At 40.6% G+C, this 24,427-nt stretch overlaps 1 protein-coding gene across 6 annotated transcripts in view; it reads right to left on the minus strand.

The window, feature by feature from the left end:
• Positions 1 to 22,781: 22,781 nt before the first annotated feature.
• The window catches only part of SMCO4 (single-pass membrane protein with coiled-coil domains 4), a 75,508-nt gene continuing 73,862 nt past the window's right edge, over positions 22,782 to 24,427 (minus strand). For 3 of the 6 annotated variants that reach the window (XM_011542909.1, NM_020179.3, XM_047427266.1), the window contains one exon: positions 22,782 to 23,579. In XM_011542909.1, coding sequence (XP_011541211.1) covers positions 23,180 to 23,579 — 400 coding nt within the window. In that variant the 3' untranslated portion in view covers positions 22,782 to 23,179. Of the gene's footprint in view, positions 23,595 to 24,427 lie in introns of all 6 variants that reach the window. The other 3 variants (XM_011542907.1, XM_017018020.1, XM_011542911.3) reach the window with 1 other exon arrangement.

A 24,427-nucleotide genomic window follows, 5' to 3' on the forward strand; every position in this document is an offset into this window, starting at 1 on the left:
AAAAAAAAAAGGGACCCTTCTGGTTCCAAGCTAAAGCAGTGCTAAGAAGGAAATTAATAGCACTAAATGCATACATTAGAAAAGGGGAAAAGTCTCAAATCATCTAAGTTCCCATCTCAAGAACCTAGGGATAAAAAAGACCAAAATAAACCCAAAGCAAGCAGAAGGAAGAGACAATAAAGAGCAAAAGCCAATAAAATGGAAATCAGAAAAATTGAGAAAATCAATGAAATAAAGAGCTGGCTCTTTGAAAAAAATAAATAAAATTAACAAATCTCTAGCAAGACTGACAAAAGAAGGAAGAAAATACAAATTACCATTATCAGGAATGAAACAGAGGATCTCACTGCACACTCTGCAAAAGGCAAAAGGATACAGGACTGCTATGAACACAAATATTTATTTGACAACTTTGTTGAAATGGACCAAGTTCTCAAAAAACACAGATTATTACAATTCACTCAGTAGGAAACTAGTAAATTTAAATAGCCCTAAACTACTGAGGAAACTGAATTCATAATTTTTAAGTTACCAAAAAAGAAATCTCTAGGTCCAAATGATTTCATCAGAAAATTCTAGCAAAAGTTAAAAAAAACAAAACAAAACACGAATTTCAGAAATCTCTTCTAGGAAATAGGAAAGAAAACATTTCCCAATTCATTTGAAAATAATATTCCCATAATAGCAAAATGAGACAAGGACATAGCAAACTACAAACAAAAAATTCTCATGAATATCCATGCAAAAATCCTTAACAAAATATATATATACCATGATTAATTGGGATTTATTCCAGAGATGCAAGGCTGGTTCAAAAGTGAAACAATGTAATCCACCTGAGGACATGAGAAGACTAAAGAAAAAAATTCACATGATCATATGAATTAATGCAGAAAACGCATTTGACAAAATTAAACACTCTTTCATGATTAAAAAAAAAACTTTCAGAAAAATAAGAACAAAGGGAACTTGATAAAGAATGTTTACAAAAACCTATGGATCACATTTTACTTAATGGTAAAAGGCAGAATGTTTTCCCCTTAAGATCAGGAACAAGGGCTGTAACCCCAGCACTTTGGGAAGCCGAGGTGGGCAGATCACGAGGTCAAGAGATCGAGACCATCCTGGCCAACTTGGTGAAACCCCGTCTCTACTAAAAATACAAAAATTAGCTGGGCACAGTGGCAGGCGCCTGTAATCCCACTACTCAGGAGGCTGAGGCAGGAGAATCGCTTGAAACCGGGAGGTGGAGGTTGCAGTGAGCCGAGATCACACCACTGCACTCCAGCCTGGCGACAGAGTGAGACTCCGTCTTAAAAAAAAAGATCAGGAATAAGGCGAAGATGTCCATTCTCACCCTTCTTATTCAACATAGTGCTGGAAGTTCTAGCCAGTGTGATAAGTGACAAAAAATAAAAGGTGCATAAATCAGAAAGGAAGACATAAAACTTTCCCTATTTTCTAGTAAAATGATTGTCTAGTGAAGGTCCCAAGGAATCTACAAAAAAACTTCTAGAACTGATAAGAGAGCCCAGTAAGCTCAAAGGACACAAGATAAATACACAAAAATCAATTGTATATATACCAGCAATAAACACATGGACATTGAAATTAAAAATCTGATAACATTTACAATCACTAAATAAATTAAATACCTAGGTGTAAATCTAACAAAACACATGCAGGATTTGTATGCTGAAAACTGCTAAATGCTGATGAAAGAAATCAAAGACTTTTTAAAATGAAAGACGTACCATCAATTAGAAGACTCGACATAGTAAAGGTCTCAGATATACAGGTTTAGAAATTGATGTACAGATTTAATGCAATTCCAATTAAATGCCAAGACTTTTTGTTACACACAGACAAGGTTATTCTACATTTTATATAGTAAACAAACTAGAATAGCTAAAACAATTTTGAAAAAGAATAAAGAGAAAAGATTCAGTCTACTCAATTTTGAGACAATATATAGGGAAAGTAACGAAGTCTGTGTGATATCAATGAAGAACTCAGAAGTGGACCCACACAAGTACGCCTAACTGATTTTTGACAAATGTACAAAAAGAATTCAATGGAGGAATGATAGCCATCCAATAAACTATGCTGAAGCGATTGGATATCCAAAGGCAAAAATATGAACCTTACGTCTCACACTTTCTATAAAAATTATCTTTTTTTGTAATTAATAAATTATAAAATTAATTATACAAAAATGGATCATGAACTTAAATGTAAAACTATGAAACTTTTAGGGTGAAAACATAGGATAAAAGCTGTGGGACCTAGAGCTAGGCAAAGAATTCTTAGATGTGACAGGAAAAGCACAATCCATGAATGGAAAAATTAAATTGAAAGTTGTAAAAACCAAACACTTTTGCTCTGATAAAAAGTCTGGGCTTTGGGTTCCAAGATGGCCGAATAGGAACAGCTCCAGTCTGCAGCTCCCAGTGTGACTGATGCAGAAGACGGGTGATTTCTGCATTTACAACTGAGGTACCTGGTACATCTCATTGGGACTGGTTGGACAGTGGGTGCAGCCCACAGAAGGCGAGCTGAAGCAGGGTGGGGGATTTCCCTTTCCTAGCCAAGGGAAGCTGTGACAGACTACCTGGAAAATCGGGACACTCCCACCCAAAGGCTGTGCTTTTCCCAAGGTCTTAGCAACCAGCAGACAAGATGATTCTCTCCCATGCCTGACTTAGCGGCTCCCACTCCCACAGAGCCTTGCTCACTGCTAGCACAGCAGTCTGAGATCGATCTGCAAGACGGCAGCCTGGCTGAGGGACGGGCGTCCACCATGGCTGATGCTTGAGGAGGTAAACAAAGTGGCTAGGAAGCTCGAACTGGGCAGAGCTCACGGCAGCTCAATAAGGCCTACTGCCTCTAGACTCCACCTCTGTGGGCAGGGCATAGCTGAACGAAAGGCAGCAGATGACTTCTGCAGACTTAAATGTCCCTGTCTGACAGCTCTGAAGAGAGCAGTGGTTCTCCCAGCATGGCTTTTGAGCTCTGAGAATGGACAGACTGCCTCCTCAAGTGGGTCCCTGACCCCCGTGTAGCCTAACTGGGAGACACGTCCCAGTAGGGGCTGACAGACACCTCATATAGGCGGCTGCCCCTCTGGGATGAAGCTTCTATACGAAGGATCAGGCAGCAATTTTTGCTGTTCTGCAATACTTGCTGTTCTGCAGCCTCCACTGGTGATACAAAGGCAAACAGGGTCTGGAGTGGACCTCCAGCAAAATCCAACAGACCTGCAGCTGAGGGACCTGACTGTTAGAAGGAAAACTAACAAACAGAGAGGAATAGCATCAACATCAACAAAAAGGTCATCCACACCAAAACCCCATCTGTAGGTCACCAACATCAAAGACCAAACGTAAATAAAACCACAAAGATGGGGAGAAGTCAGAGCAGAAAAGCTGAAAATTCTAAAAATCAGAGCACCTCTTCTGCAAAGGATTGCAACTCCTCGTCAGCAATGGGACAAAGATGGATGGAGAATGACTTTAATGAGTTGACAGAAGTAGGCTTCAGAAGGTCGGTAATAACAAACTTCTCCGAGCTAAAAAAGGATGTTCAAACCCATTGCAAGGAAGCTAAAAACCTTGAAAAAAGATTGGACGAATAGCTAACTAGAATAAACAGTGTAGAGAAGACCTTAAATTGCCTGATGGAGCTGAAAACCATGGCATGAGAACTTCGTGACGCATGCACAAGCTTCAATAGCTGATGCGATCAAGCGGAAGAAAGGGTATCAGTGACTGAAGATCAAATTAATGAAATAAAGCAAGAAGGCAAGATTAGAGAAAAAAGAGTGAAAAGAAATGAATAAAGCCTCCAAGAAATATGCGACTATGTGAAAAGACCAAATCTGCGTTTGACTGGTGTACCTGAAAGTGATGGGAAGAATGGAACCAAGTTGGAAAACACTCTTCAGGATATTATCCAGGAGAACTTCCCCAATCTAGCAAGGCTGGCCAACATTCAAATTCAGGAAATACAGAGAACACCACAAAGATACTTCTCGAGAAGAGCAACCCCAAGACACATAATTGAGAGATTCGCCAAGGTTGAAATGAAGGAAAAAATGTTAAGGGCAGCCAGAGAGAAAGGTCGGGTTACCCACAAAGGGAAGCCCATCAGACTAACAGCAGATCCCTCGGCAGAAACTCTACAAGCCAGAAGAGAGTGGGGGCCAATATTCAACATTCTGAAAGAAAAGGATTTTCAACCAGAATTTCATATCCAGCCAAACTAAGCTTCATAAGTAAAGGAGAAATAAAATCCTTTACAGACAAGCAAATGTTGAGAGATTTTGTCACCACCAGGCCTGCCTTACAAGAGCTCCTGAAGGAAGCACCAAACATGAAAAGAAACAACCAGTACCAACCACTGCAAAAACAGGCCAAATTGTAAAGACCATCGATGCTGTGAAGAAACTGCATCAATTAACAGACAAAATAACCAGCGAACATCATAATGACAGGATCAAATTCACACATAACAATATTAACCTTAAACGTAAATGGGCTAAATGCCTCAATTAAAAGACACACACTGGAAAATTGGATAAAGAGTCAAGACCCATCAGTGTACTGTATTCAGGAGACCCATCTCACATGCAAAGACACACATAGGCTCAAAATAAAGGGATGGAGGAAGATCTACCAAGCAAATGGAAAGCAAAAAAAAACAAGGGTTGCAATCCTAGTCTCTGATAAGACAGATTTTAAACCAACAAAGATCAAAAGAGACAAAGAAGGCCATTAGATAATGGTAAAGGGATCAATTTAACAAGAAGAACTAACTATCCTAAATATATATGCACCCAATACAGGAGCACCCAGATTCATAAAGCAAGTCCTTAGAGACCTACAAAGAGACTTAGACTCCCATACAATAATAATGGGAGACTTTAACACCCCACTGTCAACATTAGACACATCAACAAGACAGAAGGTTAACAAGGATATTCAGGACCTGAACTCAGCTCTGCAACAAGCAGACATAATAGACATCTACAGAACTCTCCACCCCAAATCAAAAGAATATATATTCTTCTCAGCACCACAACACACTTATTCTAAAATTGACCACATAATTGGAAGTAAAGCACTCCTCAGCAAATGTAAAACAACAGAAATAACAACAAACTGTCTCTCAGACCACAGTGCAATCAAATTAGAACTCAGGATTAAGAAACTCACTCAAAACTGCACACCTACATGGAAACTGAACAACTTGCTCCTGAATGACTACTGGGTAAATAACGAAGTGAAGGGAGAAATAAAGATGTTCTTTGAAACCAATGAGAACAAAGACATAACGTACCAGAATCTCTGGGACACATTTAAAGCAGTGTGTAGAGGGAAATTTATAGCACTAAATGCCCACAAGAGAAAGCAGGAAAGATCTATAATCGACAACCTAACAACACAATTAAAAGAACTAGAGAAGCAAGAGCAAACACATTCAAAAGCTAGCAGAAGGCAAGAAATTACTAAAATCAGAGCAGAATTGAAGGAGATAGAGGCATAAAAAACCCTTCAAAAAATCAATGAATCCAAGAGCTGGTTTTTTGAAAAGATCAACAAAATTGAAAGACTGCTAGCAAGACTAATAAAGAAGAAAAAAGAGAAGAATCAAATAGATGCAATAAAAAATGATAAAGGGGATATCACCACCGATCCCACAGAAATACACACTACCATCAGAGAATACTATAAACACCTCTATGCAAATAAACTAGAAAATCTAGAAGAAACAAATAAATTCCTAGACACATACACCCTCCCAAGACTAAACCAGGAAGAAGTTGAATCTCTGAATAGACCAATAACAGGATCTGAAATTGAGGCAATAATTCATAGCGTACCAGCGAAAAAAAGTCCAGGACCAGACAGATTCACAGTCGAATTCTATCAGAGGTACAAAGAGGAGCTGGCACCATTCCTTCTGAAACTATTCCAATCAATAGAAAAAGAGGGAATCCTCCCTAACTCATTTTATGAGGCCAGCATCATCCTGATACCAAAGCCGGGCAGAGACACAACAAAAAAAGAGAAGTTTAGACCAGTATCCCTGATGAACATTGATGCAAAAATCCTCAATAAAATACTGGCAAACTGAATCCAGTAGCACACCAAAAAGCTTATCCACCACGATCAAGTCGGCTTCATCCCTGGGATGCACGGCTGGTTCAACATACACAAATCAATAAATGTAATCCATGACATAAACAGAACCAAAGACAAAAACCACATGATTATCTCAATAGATGCAGAAAAGGCCTTTGACAAAATTCAACAGCCCTTCATGCTAAAAACTCTCAATAAATTTGGTATTCATGGAACATATCTCAAAATAATTAGAGCTATTTATGACAAACCCACAGCCAATATCATACTAAATGGGCAAAAACTGGAAGCATTCCCTTTGAAAACTGGCACAAGACAGGGATGCCCTCTCTCACCACTCCTATTCAACATAGTGTTGGAAGTTCTGGCCATGGCAATCAGGCAAGAGAAAGAAATAAAGGGTATTCAATTAAGAAATGAGGAAGTCAAATTGTCCCTGTTTGCAGATGACATGATTGTATCTTTAGAAAACCCCATCGTCTCAGCCCACCATCTCCTTCAGCTGATAAACAACTTCAGCAAAGTCTCAGGATACAAAATCAATGTGCAGAAGTCACAAGCATTCCTATACACCAATAACAGACAAACAGAGAGCCAAATCATGAGTGAACTCCCATTCACAATTGCTTCAAAGAGAATAAAATACCTAGGAATACAACTTACAAGGGATGTGAAGGACTTCTTCAAGGAGAACTACAAACCACTGCTCAACAAAATAAAAGAGAACACAAACAAATGGAGGAATATTCCATGCTCATGGATAGGAAGAATCAATATCATGAAAATGGCAATACTGCCCAAAGCAATTTATAGACTCAATGCCATCCCCATCAAGCTACCAATTACTTTCTTCACAGAATTGAAAAAAACTACCTTAAAGTTCATATGGAACCAAAAAAGAGCCCGCATTGCCAAGACAATCCTAAGCAAAAAGAACAAAGCTGGAGGCATCACGCTACCTGACTTCAAACTATACCACAAGGCTACGGTAACCAAAACAGCATGGTACTGGTAACAAAACAGATATATAGACCAATGGAACAGAACAGAGTCCTCAGAAGTAACACCACACATCTACAACCATCTGGTCTTTGACAAACCTGACAAAAACAAGAAATGGGGAAAGGATTCCCTGTTTAATAAATGGTGCTGGGAAAACTGGCTAGCCATATGTAGAAAGCTGAAAGTGGATCTCTTCCTTACACCTTATACAAAAATTAATTCAAGATGGACTAAAGACTTAAATGTTCGACCTAAAACCATAAAAACCCTAGAAGAAAACCTAGGCAATACCATTCAAGACATAGGCATGTGCAAGGACTTCATGACTAAAGCACCAAAATCAATGGCATCAAAAGCCAAAATAGACAAGTGGGATCTAATTAAACTAAAGAGCTTCTGCACAGCAAAAGAAACTATCATCAGAGTGAACAGGCAACCTATAGAATGGGAGAAAATTTTTGCAATCTACCCGTCTGACAAAAGGCTAATTTCCAGAAGCTACACAAATTTACAAGAAAAAAAACAACCCCATCAAAAAGTGGGCAAAGGATGTGAACAGATACTTCTCAAAAGAAGACATCTATGCAGCCAACAGACACATGAAAAAATGCTCATCATCACTGGTCATCAGAGAAATGCAAATCAAAACCACAATGAGATACCATCTCACGCCAGTTAGAATGGCAATCATTAAAAAGTCAGGAAACAAAAGATGCAGGCATGGATGTTAAGAAATAGGAATGCTTTTACACTGTTGGTGGGAGTGTAAATTAGTTCAACCATTGTGGAAGACAGTGTGGTGATTCCTCAAGGATCTACAACTAGAAATACCATTTGACCCAGCAATCCCATTACTGGGTATATACCCAAAGGATTAGAATTCATGCTGCTATAAAGACACATGCACCCGTATGTTTATTGCAGCACTATTCACAATAGCAAAGACTTGGAACCAACCCAAATGTCCATTAAAGATAAACTGGATAAAGAAAATGTGGCACATATATACCATGGAGTACTATGCAGCCATAAAAAAGGATGAGTTCCTGTCCTTTGCAGAGACATGGATGAAGCTGGAAACCATCATTCTCAGCAAACTATCACAAGGACAGAAAACCAAACACCGCATGTTCTCACTCATAGGTGGGAAATGAACAATGAGATCACTTGGACACAGGATGGGGAACATCACACACCGGGGCATGTCGTGGGGTGGGAGGCTGGGGTAGGGATAGCATTAGGAGAAATACCCAATGTAAATGATGAGTTGATGGGTGCAGCAAACCAACATGGCACATGCATACCTATGTATCAAACCTGCACGTTGTGCACATGTACCCTAGGATTTAAAGTATAATAAAAAAATACTTTTGCTAGTGGAGACACAAACAAATTGAACTAGGTAACTTAAAAAAAAAAGTCTGTTAAGAGGGTGAAAAGAAAAGCTACTGGGAGAAAATATTTGCAAACCACATATCTAACAGGGGACTAACATCTAGAATGTATAAAGATCTATCAAAACTGAACAGAAAAAAAACTGAAGGATCCAATTAGAATATGGAGAAAAGATGTGAGATGCATTGCACTGAAGAGAATAGATAGGTGGCCAGTAAGCTCATGAAAAGGTGTTCAACAGTATTAGCCATTAGGGAAATGCAAATTTAGCCACAGTAAGTTATCACTACACACTTGTCAGAGTAGCTAAAAACAAAAAATAGTGACAACCCTAAATAATGGCAAGAACACAGAGAAACTGATCACATTGCTGGTGGAATGCACAGTGGAACCACTCCTCTGGAAAATAGTTGGACAGTTTCATGCAACTACCATACAACCCAGCATATGAACTCTTCAAAATTTATCCCAGAGAAGTAAATACTTATGTTCACCAAAAAACCTATATGTGAATGCTCAGAGCAGCTTTATTCATAATAGCCAAAAACTAGAAACAGCATAGATATCCTTCAACAGGTGAATGGTTAAAACAAAAAAAAAGTGGTACCTCCATACCATGGAATACTACTCAGCAGTAGAAAAAACAAAAACCGATTGCTTCATGCAAAACCTGGAGGATTCTGCAGAGCATTATGCTGAGCAAAAAGAGGTCAATCTCAAAAGGTTCCATTCTGTACTCTACCATTTATATGACATTCTTGAAATAACAAAATTATGGAAATAGAGACCAGATTAGTGGTTACCAGGGGCTACAGAGCGAGTGGGAGCATGAGGGCAGGGGATGTGGCTATAAAAAGGGAAGCTGAGAAGTCCCTGTGACGATCTGTTCTGTATCTTGGCTGCATCAATGTCAATGTGCTGATCATACTAAGATACTGTACTGTAGGTTTGAAGAAGTTAATACGGGGGGGACTAGGTAAAGGGTATACAGGATCTATCTGTATTACTTCCTACAACTGCATGTGAAAATACAGTTATTTCAAAAAGTTTATTTTTTAAAAATAACTATTCTTAGCTTTCCATCTGTTCAAAAGCAGGTGGCAGGCTAGATTTGGCCCACAGGCTGTAGTAGTTTATAGAGTTTAGTGCAAACACCAAGAAACACTGTATGTTCATTCAATGGTGTTTTAAATGTTAAAACTACAGAGTTCCAAACAGAGAGGTCCTAAAATGTGTTTTCAGTCATTTGGTTCTTATAATTGCAATAGTGGTTTTTCTACAGGGACAATGTCCATCCCAATCCTAATTGGGAGGGGATAGGAGCAGTGGGTATGTAACCTCTAGATTTGGAATCTTCAAAATCCTCTTTGTCTTGTTTTAATATGAGCACCATGAGTTCATCTTCTCCAGTTATATGCTTCCATATACTACATCCTGGATTCTCACTATACCATGGAAGCTGGTGTGTGTTTTATTCAAATGTGTTGCAGGCCACAAAATATGACTGTTCTTTGAATAGGAGTTCGGTTTGAATTGTATATATTGGTTTTAACTTTCTTAGCCCTTCCATTCACAATCTGTTTTGGTCACTGTGCAGCAGAAAAACAAATTTTAAACCATATTTAAAACATATATATTCACATTCACATTAGGAAGTTTATTTTGATCCAAACAGCAATCATCATTCAGTCATTCAGTATGGTCTCTGTTTCCTTTGCATCGCTATTTAATGTTTCCTTATGTTGGCTTCTGTCTTTTAAAAAATATATCATGATCCTTAGCCATCTGCTTGTATTTAAAAGTGGGACACTAAAAATCTCTGTGCCCATGGGTGGGCTCAGTGGAATTTTACTAACCTGGAGCTTTACTGCAGGTGAATCCAAATAGATTTCTTTGGGTAACCCTCAATATTAGTGTCCTTAGGTCTTTTCTCTTGGATCTGTTACATTTCTCAGAGAGGCTGCTTCTAATTTTCTGTCTGAAGGGTATACTCTTCCTTGCCACATTCTGGGGGTCCAGGTGGAAAAAAAAGGTTGAGGATCTCAGCATTCGATATGTATATTACTGGAGCCCATATTTTTAGTACAAGATCTCTTCCTTCAGCTGTACCTGGTGCCGTCAGCCAAGAGACTCTGTGTTCGACTCTCTCTTGAGAATGAATCACCTGCCTTCTGTCACGATTGGGGAAAGAATCTGGTAGTTTAACGAGTTCTTAGGCTGACTTTCTACCAATCCTTCTTCTAGCTTTACCTTCACAGTCACTTCCAGAATAATCTGGGTATACCCATTCCTGAGCTTTGTGAGGATCTGCAGTGACAGTCAGGCTGATTTTGAGATGCTCTCACTGCCAACTATAACTCATTGTTCTCAGGTCTGCTAAGGCAGTTACCACTCAACCCTTTGCTTTCCATTTTTCAAAATGGAGCTGCTCTTACCTCTGCTCCCTTTCTCTTCATGCTAGTGATAGGGACAGGAGGCAGAGAAATTCTAGGCAAGAAAGGGCGGGTCCCTGGCAAAAACCCCACCCTCAAGCTGAAAAGCCTGAAACCATGGCCCAAAATAAGAACTTCTATCCCTGTTTTCCCACTCGAATGTTGCCTTTTCGTGAACTACCCATGGCCCCACCCCTCCCTATCCTGTGCCTATAAAGACCCCAGACTCAGCCAGCAGAGAAGTAGCTGGACGTCAGGACTACAGCTGGATGTCAGGACTGCAGCTGGATGTCAGAGAGAAGCAGCTTGACTTTAGACAGACAGCTTAACAGCATAACTTCAGAGAAGAATCCAGCTGGAGACAGACAGACTTCAGAGGAAGATTACCTTCCCACCCCATTTCGGCTCCCCTTCTCACTGAGAGCCACTTTCATCGGCAGTAAAATCCCCCACATTTACCATCCTTCAATTTGCCTATGCAAACTCATTTTTCCTGGACACCACACAAGAGCTCAGGAGCCATGAGTGCAGAGCACTGTAACATGCCCTCTGGGGCTTTGGGGGTTACAGGTACCCCAACCTAGACACTGCCACAAGGGCCTGCATGGAGTTCTCTCCTGCCAGTGCCGAGGCAGCCAACCAGTTCCAACACTCACACACTCCAGTTCCCACCTCATTTGCTGATGCGCTCCCTCCTGCAAGGAGTTGAGAGCAGCAGGCTGAGTAAATGAGGCACCCCTGTTATGAGTCTTGTGAAGGGGATAGGGAAATATCCTGCTTCACTAGGAATGTATGTCTTTTTTCCTTTTACTTTACTATGGCTTTACCTTTAAGAGGGAGCATGTATTCAACTCACCATCATTAACCAGAAGTCTTTATTCAGCCTGAGCCAACACATAGGAATTGTGGTTGTAAGGGTTTAACATGACATATGAGTTTGTCAGCATCTTTCTTTTTTTTGAGACAAAGTCTCACTCTGTGGCCCAGGCTGGAGTGCAGTGGTGCAATCTTGGTCCACTGCAGCCTCTCCTTCCTGGGTTCAAGCAATTCTCCTGCCTCAGCCTCCCTGAGTTTGTCATCATTCTTATCCAGTTAAGAGCTGGGACATAGGCTCCTCTCCCATACCTGCTTCATGCACATGGACTCAAGTTATTCTGATTGTAGCTAGGATTAATTCTTATCATTACTATAGGTAATGACAAAGACTCTAAGGCAGGGGCCAAATCCCAAGCCTAACTTGAAGGAGAAAGTACAAGATATCCTTATTTGGATATGGAATCTTCTTCAAAATCCTTTTTCTTCTGTTACTTTGTTTTATTTTTTAACACCAGTATTTGGGGCCTATCTTCTCCAGTTCTAGGCTCTCCTAATGCTAGATACTTAATCAGAATCTATCAGGATGCTCCAGGAAGTGGTAGGAGATCTAGCCAGTAAACTCTAAGAAACTTTTCATCTCTAATGTTCTAAAATTCAAATAGGTTTTTTAAGATAGTCTGAAAATCTAACCATGAAATATAGACCTTAATTGCTACATAAATATGGTCTGGGCTCCATGCAGCAAATTTACGTATCAGCAGTAGACTAAATAAGAGCCTCAGGGAGATATTTCCTCAGGGTACAGCAGTGCAGTGGGGCAGATGGACAATGATGGGCAAGAGCAGCTAAGCAGAGCTCCTGGGACCCAGCTCAGGGTGGGTCGGCCCATGTGGTAGGTCTATCCGGAGGACATGTCACCCTGCTTAGGTATAAGCCACTCACAAATCCAGGGGAAGTTAGGATGGGACAAACACAACGTAATGCATTTCCTCACAGGCCATGGCTGACTTGGAAGTTTGCATGAGAGTAATGGGAATTGGAAAGAACTCTTCATATTTATTCAGCTCAACGTTTTGGAAAGTTGACAAATTATCTACGTATGCTTTTATGTATAAAGCAAAGGATTTAGAGCATTCTGCTTTTTAAAAGCTTTGCTGATTTGATAGGTAAAATGATATTCTATTGTTACTTGAACAGAAATTTTTGTTTACACAGCTGTGCTTTTTTTTTTTTCATGAGCATACTGGTCATTTGCATTTTTCTTTTGTGAATTATCTGCTCTTTCACTTTGTAAAAAATATTTATTGATATTCTCTTTTAGCTCTAGGAAAATGGGGTTAACAAGACAGACAACTTCTTTTGAATCTCCTAGAGCTCAGGATTTAGAGGAGATAAACATACATCAGGTAATTTTTTTTTTTTTTTTTTTGAGACAGAGTCTCACACTGTCGCCCAGGCTGTAGTGCAGTGCCATGATAGCTCACTGCAACCTCTGCCTCCCGGGTTCAGGCAATTCACCTGCCTCAGCCTCCCAAGTAGCTGGGATTACAGGAGCACACCACCACATCTGGCTAATTTTTTATATTTTTAGTAGAGACAGGGTTTCACTATGTTGGCCAGACTGGTCTTGAACTCCTGACCTCGTGATCCACCCACCTCGGCCTCCCAAAGTGCTGGGATTACAGGTGTGAGCCACCAAGCCAGGCCAGTAAATAATTTTCGTAAATGTTTCTGAAACTTGAAAAAAAATACATAGCCTCTGTTTTTAGGAACAGTTTGATATGTATGAGTCAGATATATTTTGTCTTCTAAATCCTTATCTTTTATTTACTTGCTCAAATAAAAGATAAGGATTTAGAAGACTCAAAGTCTCCAATTACTAATACATTTCTGTCTATCACTCTTTGTATTTCCTATAATTTCTGTTAAGATAAATTTGGTCATTTTGTATGTATTCATAATTTCTAGATCTTCATTATAAATTGTATACTTTACACCATAAAGTGCCCTTTATCTCTTTTATGCTTTTTGCTCCCAACTTTATTGAATAGTAAGGCTGTAACTACTGCTTCCTGTTTGTTTCCCTGACAATTTCCTGTTCGTAGATACCTGTTTAAAGCTATGAATTTTCATCTGAGCTCTCCTCTAATGGTATTACTTTCTTCTAGATGCATCACTGACATACTTTTGTCCATCTTTTTACTTTCAACTGCTTTGAGTCACTTTAAGGTGTATCTTTTTTATAAGATGTGCATTAGGTTTTCCTTTATATTCCAATTTAAGTCTTTTTTCTTTAAATAAGTATATTCACGCCATTTTCTCAGATTTGATAGCTATGTTTGGTCTTGCTTCTGTCATCATATTTTGCATTACATTATTTCCATCAATGGTTCAAAATAACTTCCAATGTATATATAACTTCCAATATACATAACTTCCAATGTATATAGAAGCTGTATAGCTTGTTTCCTTCACTCGTGTGTGCTGTCATGATTTTATAAGCTTTTATTTTGTCTTAGTTGTTCCTAATGGCTACTTTATTTTTTTTCTCGTTGTCAGGAAGGTTTTTCATTTTTCAAATGATCATTATATATTTTCTACAATTTCCTGATTTTTCCTTTTAATTTCAGCATTTATTTTAGATACAGTGAGTACCTATGCAGGTTTGTTACATGGGTATACTGCACCCAGGTAGTGAGCACAGTACCTGGTAAGTTTTTCAACCTACACACCTGTCTCTCCTTCCCACCTCTGGTAGCCCCCAGTATCTATTGTTCCCATGTTTACGTCCATGGGTGCTCAACGTTTAGCTCTCACTTATAAGTGACAACATGGGGTATTTGGTTTTCTGTTCCTGCATCAGTTAGGATTATGGCCTCCATCCAGCTCCATCAGTGTTGCTACAAAAGACATTATTTCATTCTTTAGGCTGCATAGTATTCCATGTATCACATTTTCTTTATCCAGTTCACACTGATGGGCATCTAAGTTGATTTCCCATCTTTGCTATTGAGAATAGCATGGCAGTGAACATGTGTGCCTGTCTCTTTTTGGTATAAGGTTCTATTTGCCTTTGGGTATATACCCGTAATGGGATGGTGGGTCAAATGTTAACTCTGTTTTAAATTCTTTGAGAAATCTCCTAACTGCTTTCCACAGTGGCTGAACTAATTTACATTCCCACCAATAGCGTATAAGCGTTCCCATTTCTCCATGGCCTCTCCAGAATCTGTTGGTTTTTAACTTTTTAATTGATAAAAATTGTGTATAATTATCATGTATATGTTGTTTTGAAATATGTACACATTGTGGAATGGCTAAATGGAGCTAATTAACATATGCATTACCTCACATAGTTGTCATTTTGTGATGAGAATACTTAAAATCTACTCTTAGTAATTTTCAAGAATACATTAACTGTAGTCACTATGCTGTATTACATGATTTCTTGAACTTATTCCTCCTAACTGAAATTTTGTATTGTTGACCAGTAGCTCTCAAACCCCCTTCCATCCAGCCCCTGCAACTCTTCTATGAGTTCGACCTTTTCAGATTACACATATAAGTGAGATCATGCAGTATTTATCTTTCTGTGCCTGGCTTATTTCATTTAACATAAACCCTTCCAGGTTCATCCATATTGTCACAGATGACAGAATTTCCATCCTTTTAAAGGCTGAACAGTATTCCATTGCGTATATACCTTTTTCTTTATCCATTTATCCACTGATAGACACTTAGGTTGGTTCCATATCTTGGCGGTTGTGAATAGTGTTGCAATGAATATAGGAGTACAGATACCTCTTTGACATACTGATTTCATTTCCTTTAACTATGTACCCAGTAGTGAGATTGGTAGATCACATGGTAGTTCTACTTTTAATGTCTTGGGGAACCTCCATATTTTCCATAATGGCTGTACTAATTTACATTCCCACAAGTAGTATGCAAGTGTTCCCTTCTCCACATCCTCTCCAATACTTGTTTTTTCGTCATTTTGATAACAGCCATTCTAACAGGTACAAGGGTGATATTGTGGTTTTAATTTGCATTTCCCTGATTAGTGAGGTTGAACGTTTTTTCATATACCTGTTGCCCATTTGTATGTCTTTTGAGAAATGTCTATTCAGGTCTTTTGCTCATTTTCTAATTTGTTTTCTTACTATTGAGTTCCATATATATTTATATATATTTGGGGTTTGGGGTTTTTTCTTATTTAAAAATTTACATGATTATATAGTAGGTGTATATATTTATGGGGTACATGAGATGTTTTGATACAGGCATGCTATGTCAAATAAGCACATCATGGAGCATGGGGTATCCATTCCCCCTCAAGCATTTATCCTTTGAGTTACAATCCAACTACATTCATTATTTTAATATACATTATTGACTATAGTCACCCTATTGTGCTATCAAATAGCAGATCTTATTCATTCCACTTTTTGGGGGGCATCCATTAACCGTCTCCCTGTATATATTTTGGATATTAACCCCCTATCAAATATATAGTGTGTACTTTTTTTTTTAACCATCCTGTAGGATGTCTCTTCACTCTGTTGATTGTTTCGTTCGATGTAATCCCATTTGTCTATTTTTGCCTTCGTTGTCTGTGCTTTTGGGTTCATATCCAAAAAAATTATTGCCCAGACCAGCGATACAGAGTTCTCTACCATGTTTTCTTCCAGCACCTTTATTCGTTAATCCTTTATTCCCTTAATTTCTATGTACTGACACCATACCTGAGCAACAATAAAATAATAGCATGCTTCACTTCATACTGGTCCTCCACCAAATAAGCTGATTATATTATTTCTATTTTTTCTTTCAGTACTTACCTTTACACTTCAAAGTATATTATCAGCTTTAAATAATTTAAAGTCCTAACATTAAAAGAGCAAGAAAGAATACTTATGTCACCTCATGTCTTCTCACTTCCAACTTGTTATAACATTTCTGAAACCATAGTTTGCACAGTTGATTTTATTGTAATCCTATAGCAAATTATTTTACTGTAGCTTCTCCATTTCTCTTGTTTGGACACTATGCTCTTATGGTTTCTCCACAAAATACTCATGAAAAATAGTCCCTAATTTTTCCATGTTTAGAAATGCTTATGTATTGCAGTTATACATGTTAGTTTGATGTGTTCCCCTGCTAAAATGTACTCTATTTAATAAAGACAGGAATATTTTACATTTTTCTCACTGATGTATCTCCCAGTACCAAGAACAGTACCTGGCACATAGTTGTTACACTGAAAATAGTTGTTAAATGAGCAACATATTATACAAAGGAAACATACAAAAGAGCTCTTGGGTTGGTCTTTTTCCCCGAGAACTTTGTAGGCATTGCTCCTCAAGTGCTAAATGGTAGAGAAGGTTGAGGCTAGATTTCCATGCCCACTGCTATTTATTTTTGGTTTTTAGTAATTTGACTCTGACATGCCTAGGTGTGGTTTTCTTTGTTTACCCTACTTAGAGCTTGTTGAATTTCTTGAATCTGTGGGTTATTTTCCATCAAAGTTGAAAACAAAGCCAATTTTTATTAACGTTTTTCATGTGCACTCTTAAAAAATTATATTCTCCATTGGGTAAAAGGATCTAGTTTTATATACCATATCAAGCTTATTCATGTGATTATTCAAATCCTCTATATACTTGCTCCTTTCATCTGCTCGATCTATCAACGTCTAAAAGTGCTACCTTAAAAACAACTAAAATTGTGATGTATTTCTTCTCGTGGTCCTGTCAAGTCACTTGCTTTATATATTTTGAAGCTATATTAACATACACATTCATGATCATAATCTTTTTTTTATTACAGTACTAGTATATGTTGGCCAGGCGCGGTGGCTCACGCCTGTAATCCCAGTACTTTGGGAGGCCGAGGTGGGTGGATCACGAAGTCAGGAGATCGAGACCATCCTGGCTAACACGGTGAAGCCCCGTCTCTACTAAAAATACAAAAAAAAAAAAAAAAACCAAAAAAAAACTAGCCGGGTGTGGTGGCAGGTGCCTGTAGTCCCAGCTACTCAGGAGGCTGAGGCAGGAGAATGGCGTGAACCCAGGAGGCGGAGCTGGCAGTGAGCCGAGATCATGCCACTGCACTCTAGCCTGGGCGACAGAGCGAGACTCCATCACAAAAATAAATAAATAAATAAAAATAGAGTACTAGTATATGTCATCCTTTGCCCCCATGGCATGTTCACCTTATATTTCTTTGCTGATGTTAAAACTGTTGCTATCGCTTTTGTTCATATTTGCCTTTTTTCTTTTCACCATTTTGTACATTTTTGCTTTAAATATGTCTTTGTAGACATTGTTACATCTTTTAAAATCCAATCTGGGAGGACTGTGTGAGATAGGGGAATTTCAATGTCTCTGGAGAATTGGGGTGGAGGAAACAGATGGGCAGACCTTTGACAGAATCAGGTGGAGACAGAGAAATTTCAAGGTAGAGGAGTCTGCAAAAGGAGTTCATAATGGGCTTTCTTAATTTATTCTAACCTAAACTTGTTGGCGCCTTTGAAGTTAAGTCTGATCCCAAATGACTTAATATGGTTTCTGAAAAAGCTGGGGTGATCCACGTGTAACCAGTTGTGCCTGTTTCAATTGGAAAGGGAATATTCAAAGGTTGGATGAAAGTTTCCTTGTGGGAAAATTCAAAAGCAGACAACCTTTACGAAACAATGGGGAAGGGAACACAAGGGAAGGAGAGAGACAGACCCTTAACCATGACATTACTGAGCATCCAAATCCTCTCTCAGCTCCACATTCCTTAAGTTGTCACTCAACAGTTCAAGGGACTAAAAGCTTTTTGAAAAGACTGGCTCCTTTCCAAAGAACTGGCAGGCAGGGAGATAATACACATGACAAGACTGAAATACACTGAAGTCAGGGATATTTGCCTTGTAATGAGAAAATACTCAGAAGAGGACTGCCTACTGAAGTACATGATTCATAAGAAAAAATTAGGCCTGATAGAGTAAGAGGTTTGCTGTGTAGAGGCAAACCATATGTGCACAGTTGCTCTGCCTGATATTTGAAGCATGGAGGAAGGGGGACACGGATCCAGAAGACGTACAAACCCTTCTGCAATTCTAGTACAGATACTCTCAAAAGATTTAGAGGAAGCTATTCATATATCTTCTTGATCCCAAAATTCTGTATCTCATTTCTAATGTTTAAGGAAAAGTCTGTGGCAAATATTGTACAGAACACAGAATTAGACAGTTTCAAATACATTCAAAGGCAGACATCTTTGAAAAATATCCTGTATGGGATATTTTCAAGGCAGAGCTATAGGGAATGTGATAGTAGACTTCCAAAAAAAAAACCTGAGGGCCATAATTTCAACAGATTTCCTGATTTTTCTACCTCTGACAAGTAATTAATGGTGTGAGACCCTTTTGGGGAAGAGGGAAGGACAATCATCTCTCAAATTTTCCTAGCGACCTACGGCAATGTCTTAACCATCTCCAGTTCACAGACGAGCTTGGCTGCAGGTTCCCTATCTTACCTCATGAAGGACACATGAAGGATGGATGGGTGCATATTTGCTCTGTCCTTGAACTGACCAGGAAAACTTATAGCTGGCGGCCTCAGGACCAATCAAACTGAACTTAACCTTTACAGGTTTAGACTCATGACCAGTTGGTAGCAACCGCTGCATTTATAGAGCTCTGGGAAGATCACAAGGAGATACACAGTCTACCTTGTAGCTTCTATCCTCAGACCTCTTAGACCAGGTGCCGTTGGTTCTCTGAGCTCCAAGTAAATCTATTCATTCACATAGGTATTTTGTTAACTCTACGTTCACAGAATCTCTGGGATACAAGAGCTCTCAGGAGATTCTATGGTCCAACATACCTATATGAGGTGCCTGGCCAATGTCACACTCTGAGTGGCAGACTGGGTCTAGATCCTTCTTCTCTCAGTCTCATACCCTCCATAATGACAATGATAATCACCAAGATTTTCGTTGGCCAGAAAATGAATACACAAACACATCTTGGTATCAGGACTTTTAAAAAAAATACATCAAATGACACCTTTTAAATCAATGACAATGGTTTCTATTCTTGTCTCCAACTCGGAAGTTGCCCTTCAAGAAACATTAGGCTTGGTAATGAGGACTCCGAAAGCCAAGAGTCCTAGATTCTATTGCAGGAACCCCAGCATGACTTTCTGTGAAACTCCTAATAAATAATTCAGTATTGCCTTGAAGCCATTGAATAGCTGGAAATAATTTGGAACCTGGTGTCTCAAATCATTACCAAGTACACCCATACGAGAGTACTATTTCCCCTGAGAATTGTTAAAATTCCACCGAGCAAGTCCACAGTAAATTGGCATCTGGTCCCTGCCAGGTGACTCACATCAAAATTGTTATCTTTTAAAGGTCCATTTTCAGCCTGCCTTCACCAAGCCTGTCTAGTAGTTGCCTTCTGAAGGTCCAGTTCAAACCAACTAGGCCTCCTGATGGACAACAAAGAGAAAAACAGTGGTGAAAACAGAGCCACAAGCACCTAAAGGATCTATTACACTGTGTGTGGCATGTCCATTTGGCCAGTAGAGCCTTGGGAAGCAGGCCTTCATTTATATTCTGAGTTTTTGAACACACTGACGAAAAGGGAATGGCCATTTATGGGGCCTCCATAATGTACTAGGCACAAAGTATGCCATTTTCATATTTCAATATATCCTCCCAACATCCCTTAGAGAGTAAACCTTACTTCACAGATGTGGGGCAAGTGCGGCTCAGGTCATGGGGCCTGAGTAACGTCATTCAGCTAGAAAGCGGCAGAGGTAGAATTCAGATAATGTCGGTTTCCCAAAGATTATATTCTTTTCACATCATATACAAAATCTCCTAAGCAAGAACACTGAAATGTTTTAAGTAAGGAGCCCATGGAAAAGATTATTTCTCATATCGCTACCAGGTGAGGCTCCTCTTTCACTGAGCAACAGACCAGAGGCTGGGTGGAGTTAGTGCCCACAGGGCAGGCCAAACTCACAGCCCATTTGTCTAAAGATGGCATCAAAGGCTGTTCACCATGACCAGGTGAGGGCTGTTCAAATACCCTGGGCAGGCAAGGTTTCTTTAGACCAGGGGAGTAGAAAAAATTATTTATTGAAAGGCAACAGATTTTAATGATGTAGAAGAGCATGGACTCTGGAGCCAGGCTGCCTGGGTTTAAAATCCCATCTCCTGTTTTGCTCCAAACAGTCCAAGGAATGTGTGCACATGAGGGTGTCTGGATGTGGGGGCAGTGCAGATGGATGGGCAGGAGCAGCCAGTGAGGTTTGCTGAAGAATGGTGAACGGGGACCTGAGGCATGCTGCATCTATTTTTGTATATGTTTAAAATGTACCGTAACAAAAGCTTAAGAATAAACAAACCAGGGCTCCTCCACTCACTAGAGCTGTGTGACATGGACAGGTTTCCTGGCCTGCCTCAGCTTCTTCATGTGTAAGATTGAGTAATAATCATACCTACCTCATGAGGCTGTGTGAGAAATAAATATATGTAAAATATCAAGCTACTATTGTTTACACAGTAACTATGAGTAACTAAGCCCCAGGCGCTAGATTTGGCTTTACAAATACACTATTTCAACTTAACCCTCCCCACAATCCTATGAGGCAAGATAACCTCTAAGTGGACTCAGAGGGGTTCCAGCAGCAAAATCTGCACCAAAACCCAAGTTTGTTCTAAAAGCCTTATTTTCTACTAGGGCTCACCTTCCTGAAAGTGACTTTACCAGTTCTTTACAGACAGGGAAACTGAGGTTCAGTGGGGTTAAGTAATCCACAATTCTGAGTGGTAGACTGGGAACTAAATGCTGATCAGGTAATTGCAAGACATGCAGACTGGGGTCTTTCTGCTGGAGTGGACAGGCTGTCCTTGCTCCATCCTCACAGCATCTGCCCTGGGAAGGGGACTCATCAGCCGCACAGCAGCCCCTGTGAGGAGCAGGGATGGCCGCAGACGCCTTCCTCCACCCTCCAGCCCCTGAATGAGAAAGTCCTTGGGACAGTGGCCTGCAGTCTTTCTCAGACCAGCAAGCACTGAAGTTCATAACAGAACCAAATAAAGGGGAGGAAAACAGAAACCTCAGAGGAACTTGATGCTAGCAGCCTCTGAATTTGGCAAGTATTTTAGCAAATCTCTTACCAGGGCCATTGGCCCTTGAGTGAGCATGAGGAGACACGGAGTCTCTCTGAGACCAGCTCACAGAGCGGGGCCGCAGAGCTCTGTCAGCCTGCTGAGTCCAGGCTCTCCAGGCATCAGCCAGAGAAGTCCTTCCTTTCAATAGCTGCTTCGTCTTCCAGAGAGACTCACTCCAAGAGGCCCCAAATCTCCACTAACAGCCTCTGCCATCTGTGAGCGAGTCGCGCAGCCACGGGGATTAGGAAAAGCACTTCTCTCCCCACAGATCTCCATAATCAGCAATGACAGGAAAACAGACATCCTCAGAACAGTAACCATGAATCTGACTTCCAAAAAGAGGCTGCTCCATCAGGAACCAGGACCGCCTGAGCAGTGCTGTTAGAATAAAATGAGGCAACCATTCCAGCCAATTTGCATTGAAAACTCAGCTGGAATGCCAACAATTTGCATCCTTTCAGCTAAGAACAAAACCAAGCCTGACCTTTACTTCCAGGATCACTCTGTATTGCTGTTTGCACAAACATACCGAGTTGAAGTAGGAAAAACTAACTGGTGTAAAAAGCACCTGTCGTCACAGTCTAATTAGAACTCTCACTTTCTAAAGCAAGCCAATTAATATACCCTTTCTGTCCCTCTCCATCTTAAAATTATCGGTCAAAAAGCATAATTTTACTCAGAAATGATGAGCAGAGGGAGTGCTGGGGAAGGTGGAGAGAGCCACAGGAGAAAGGGAAGGGGAGGGAAGAGGGGCAGACCCGTGGGCAGGGGGAGACCCACAGACAGCACCTCCTTGCAAAACATGATAAGCATCCAGTTTAAGGCTATTATCTCCTTTATTCAAAAAATAAATATTTCACTTTGATTCAACATATTTCAAATCACATTAAGCACAGAGAAGAAATACAGTCCCTTTGGAGATTGTGAACACGTGTTGGAAAGAAGCATGATCCAAACAATGGGAATGAGGTGAGTGTGGATTCCAGCTGTTTCCTGACCCAGAGGTTCCATCCCTCTTCAGGTGGAGCTACTTATCGATTTTTAGGAGAGAAAAAGAAGCACACACACACACACACACACACACACACACACACACACATGCGCGCGCGCTTTGAAGTCTGAAAGGCACATGAAGTGGACCATAAGGTGTATGGCACATTCACTGATAAAACATCCCCTATTCCCTCCCAAGAAAGCGGAGATACTTTAATCAAGTCAAAGACCAGAGAAGACAGGGTGCTCCTGCTTACAGCTCAGCAACATGAACATCTCTGAATATGAAAGCCATTTTTTGTTTGCGTCCCCCTCCCGCGCCTCCTCTCCCTGCCGATGGGGTCCGCAGCCGGCTGCGGGGCTCACTCGGTGATGGTGGGGCGCGTGGCCACGTACACAAACACCACGATCAAGAGCACGACCACGGCCAGCGTGGGCAGCACCACTGTAGTGATCTGCTGCCGGGCCTCCTGCATGGCTTGCTTCCGCTCCTTCTTGTCCTTGGAGGTCTCCTTCTTGGGCTTCCCTTTGAGCTGCCGCATCTTTCCTAGAGGATGCTAGGAGGGTGTGTCCAGAGGGATTCCAGGAAGGGCCACACTCCTCTTGCCAAGGCTGGAACCTCCTGTAGAGAGAACAACTGTGATAGTAGAGAATAAACCAAATAGAAGAAAAAATAAATCACTTAAAGGCAAATACACAACTAGGAAAAATATCTGCAACTTACATGACAAAGGGCTAAGAACAGAGGCCACACCAGGCTCTAAGTTCTCTTGGGATCAGCGCTCTAAGTAGTGGGCACTGGGTCACCGGTGTGCTGTGAGAGGGGCCTCCGCTCCAGCGCCAGCTGGACAAAGCCCTGGGTACCAGACAAATAATACTGTGTTCTGTACATGCCATGAGGTGAAAGGATTGGGAAGCACCAACTACGCCGCCTCCACTCAGAGGAGCGGCTCTCCCTTTCGTGGCTCTAGCTACTTGCTTTCCTGCTCTAAGTTCCATGATCTCCCCAGCCCATCTCCAGCATGGAACTGCAGGCAGCCTGCAGTCTCCAGGCACGTAGCCCCCTTCCTGCCCAAGCCAGGCCAGCCTCATTAAGGCTGCAGAGAGCCCACAGGCATCAACTTCTCTCATCTCTTTGTTGGTTCCTTGGCCCATTCATCCAAACCTTCCCAAGCACCCACCGTGTGCCAAGCATTACTCAAGGAGCTGAGGATAGAGATGAAGGACTCAGTTGTGTCCCCACAGAGGTCACCGTCTAGGGGGCATGATGGAGACCCGGGTCACAGTAATAATGAAGGGAGACGGCTGAGCCCACAGTCCTGCCACCCACTCAACCTGGGATTCTCCTGTTAATTCTGTAGCTCACGGAGGTGCCTAACAGGTGAAGTAGAACTTTCAGGGGCCAGAAGAATGAATACAAATGTTTGGATAACTACAGAGGAACATCTCTATAAAAGTCGGCTTCTTAGC

Source organism: Homo sapiens, chromosome 11 (genome assembly GCF_000001405.40).
Source record: "Homo sapiens chromosome 11, GRCh38.p14 Primary Assembly".
Lineage (NCBI taxonomy): Eukaryota > Metazoa > Chordata > Mammalia > Primates > Hominidae > Homo > Homo sapiens.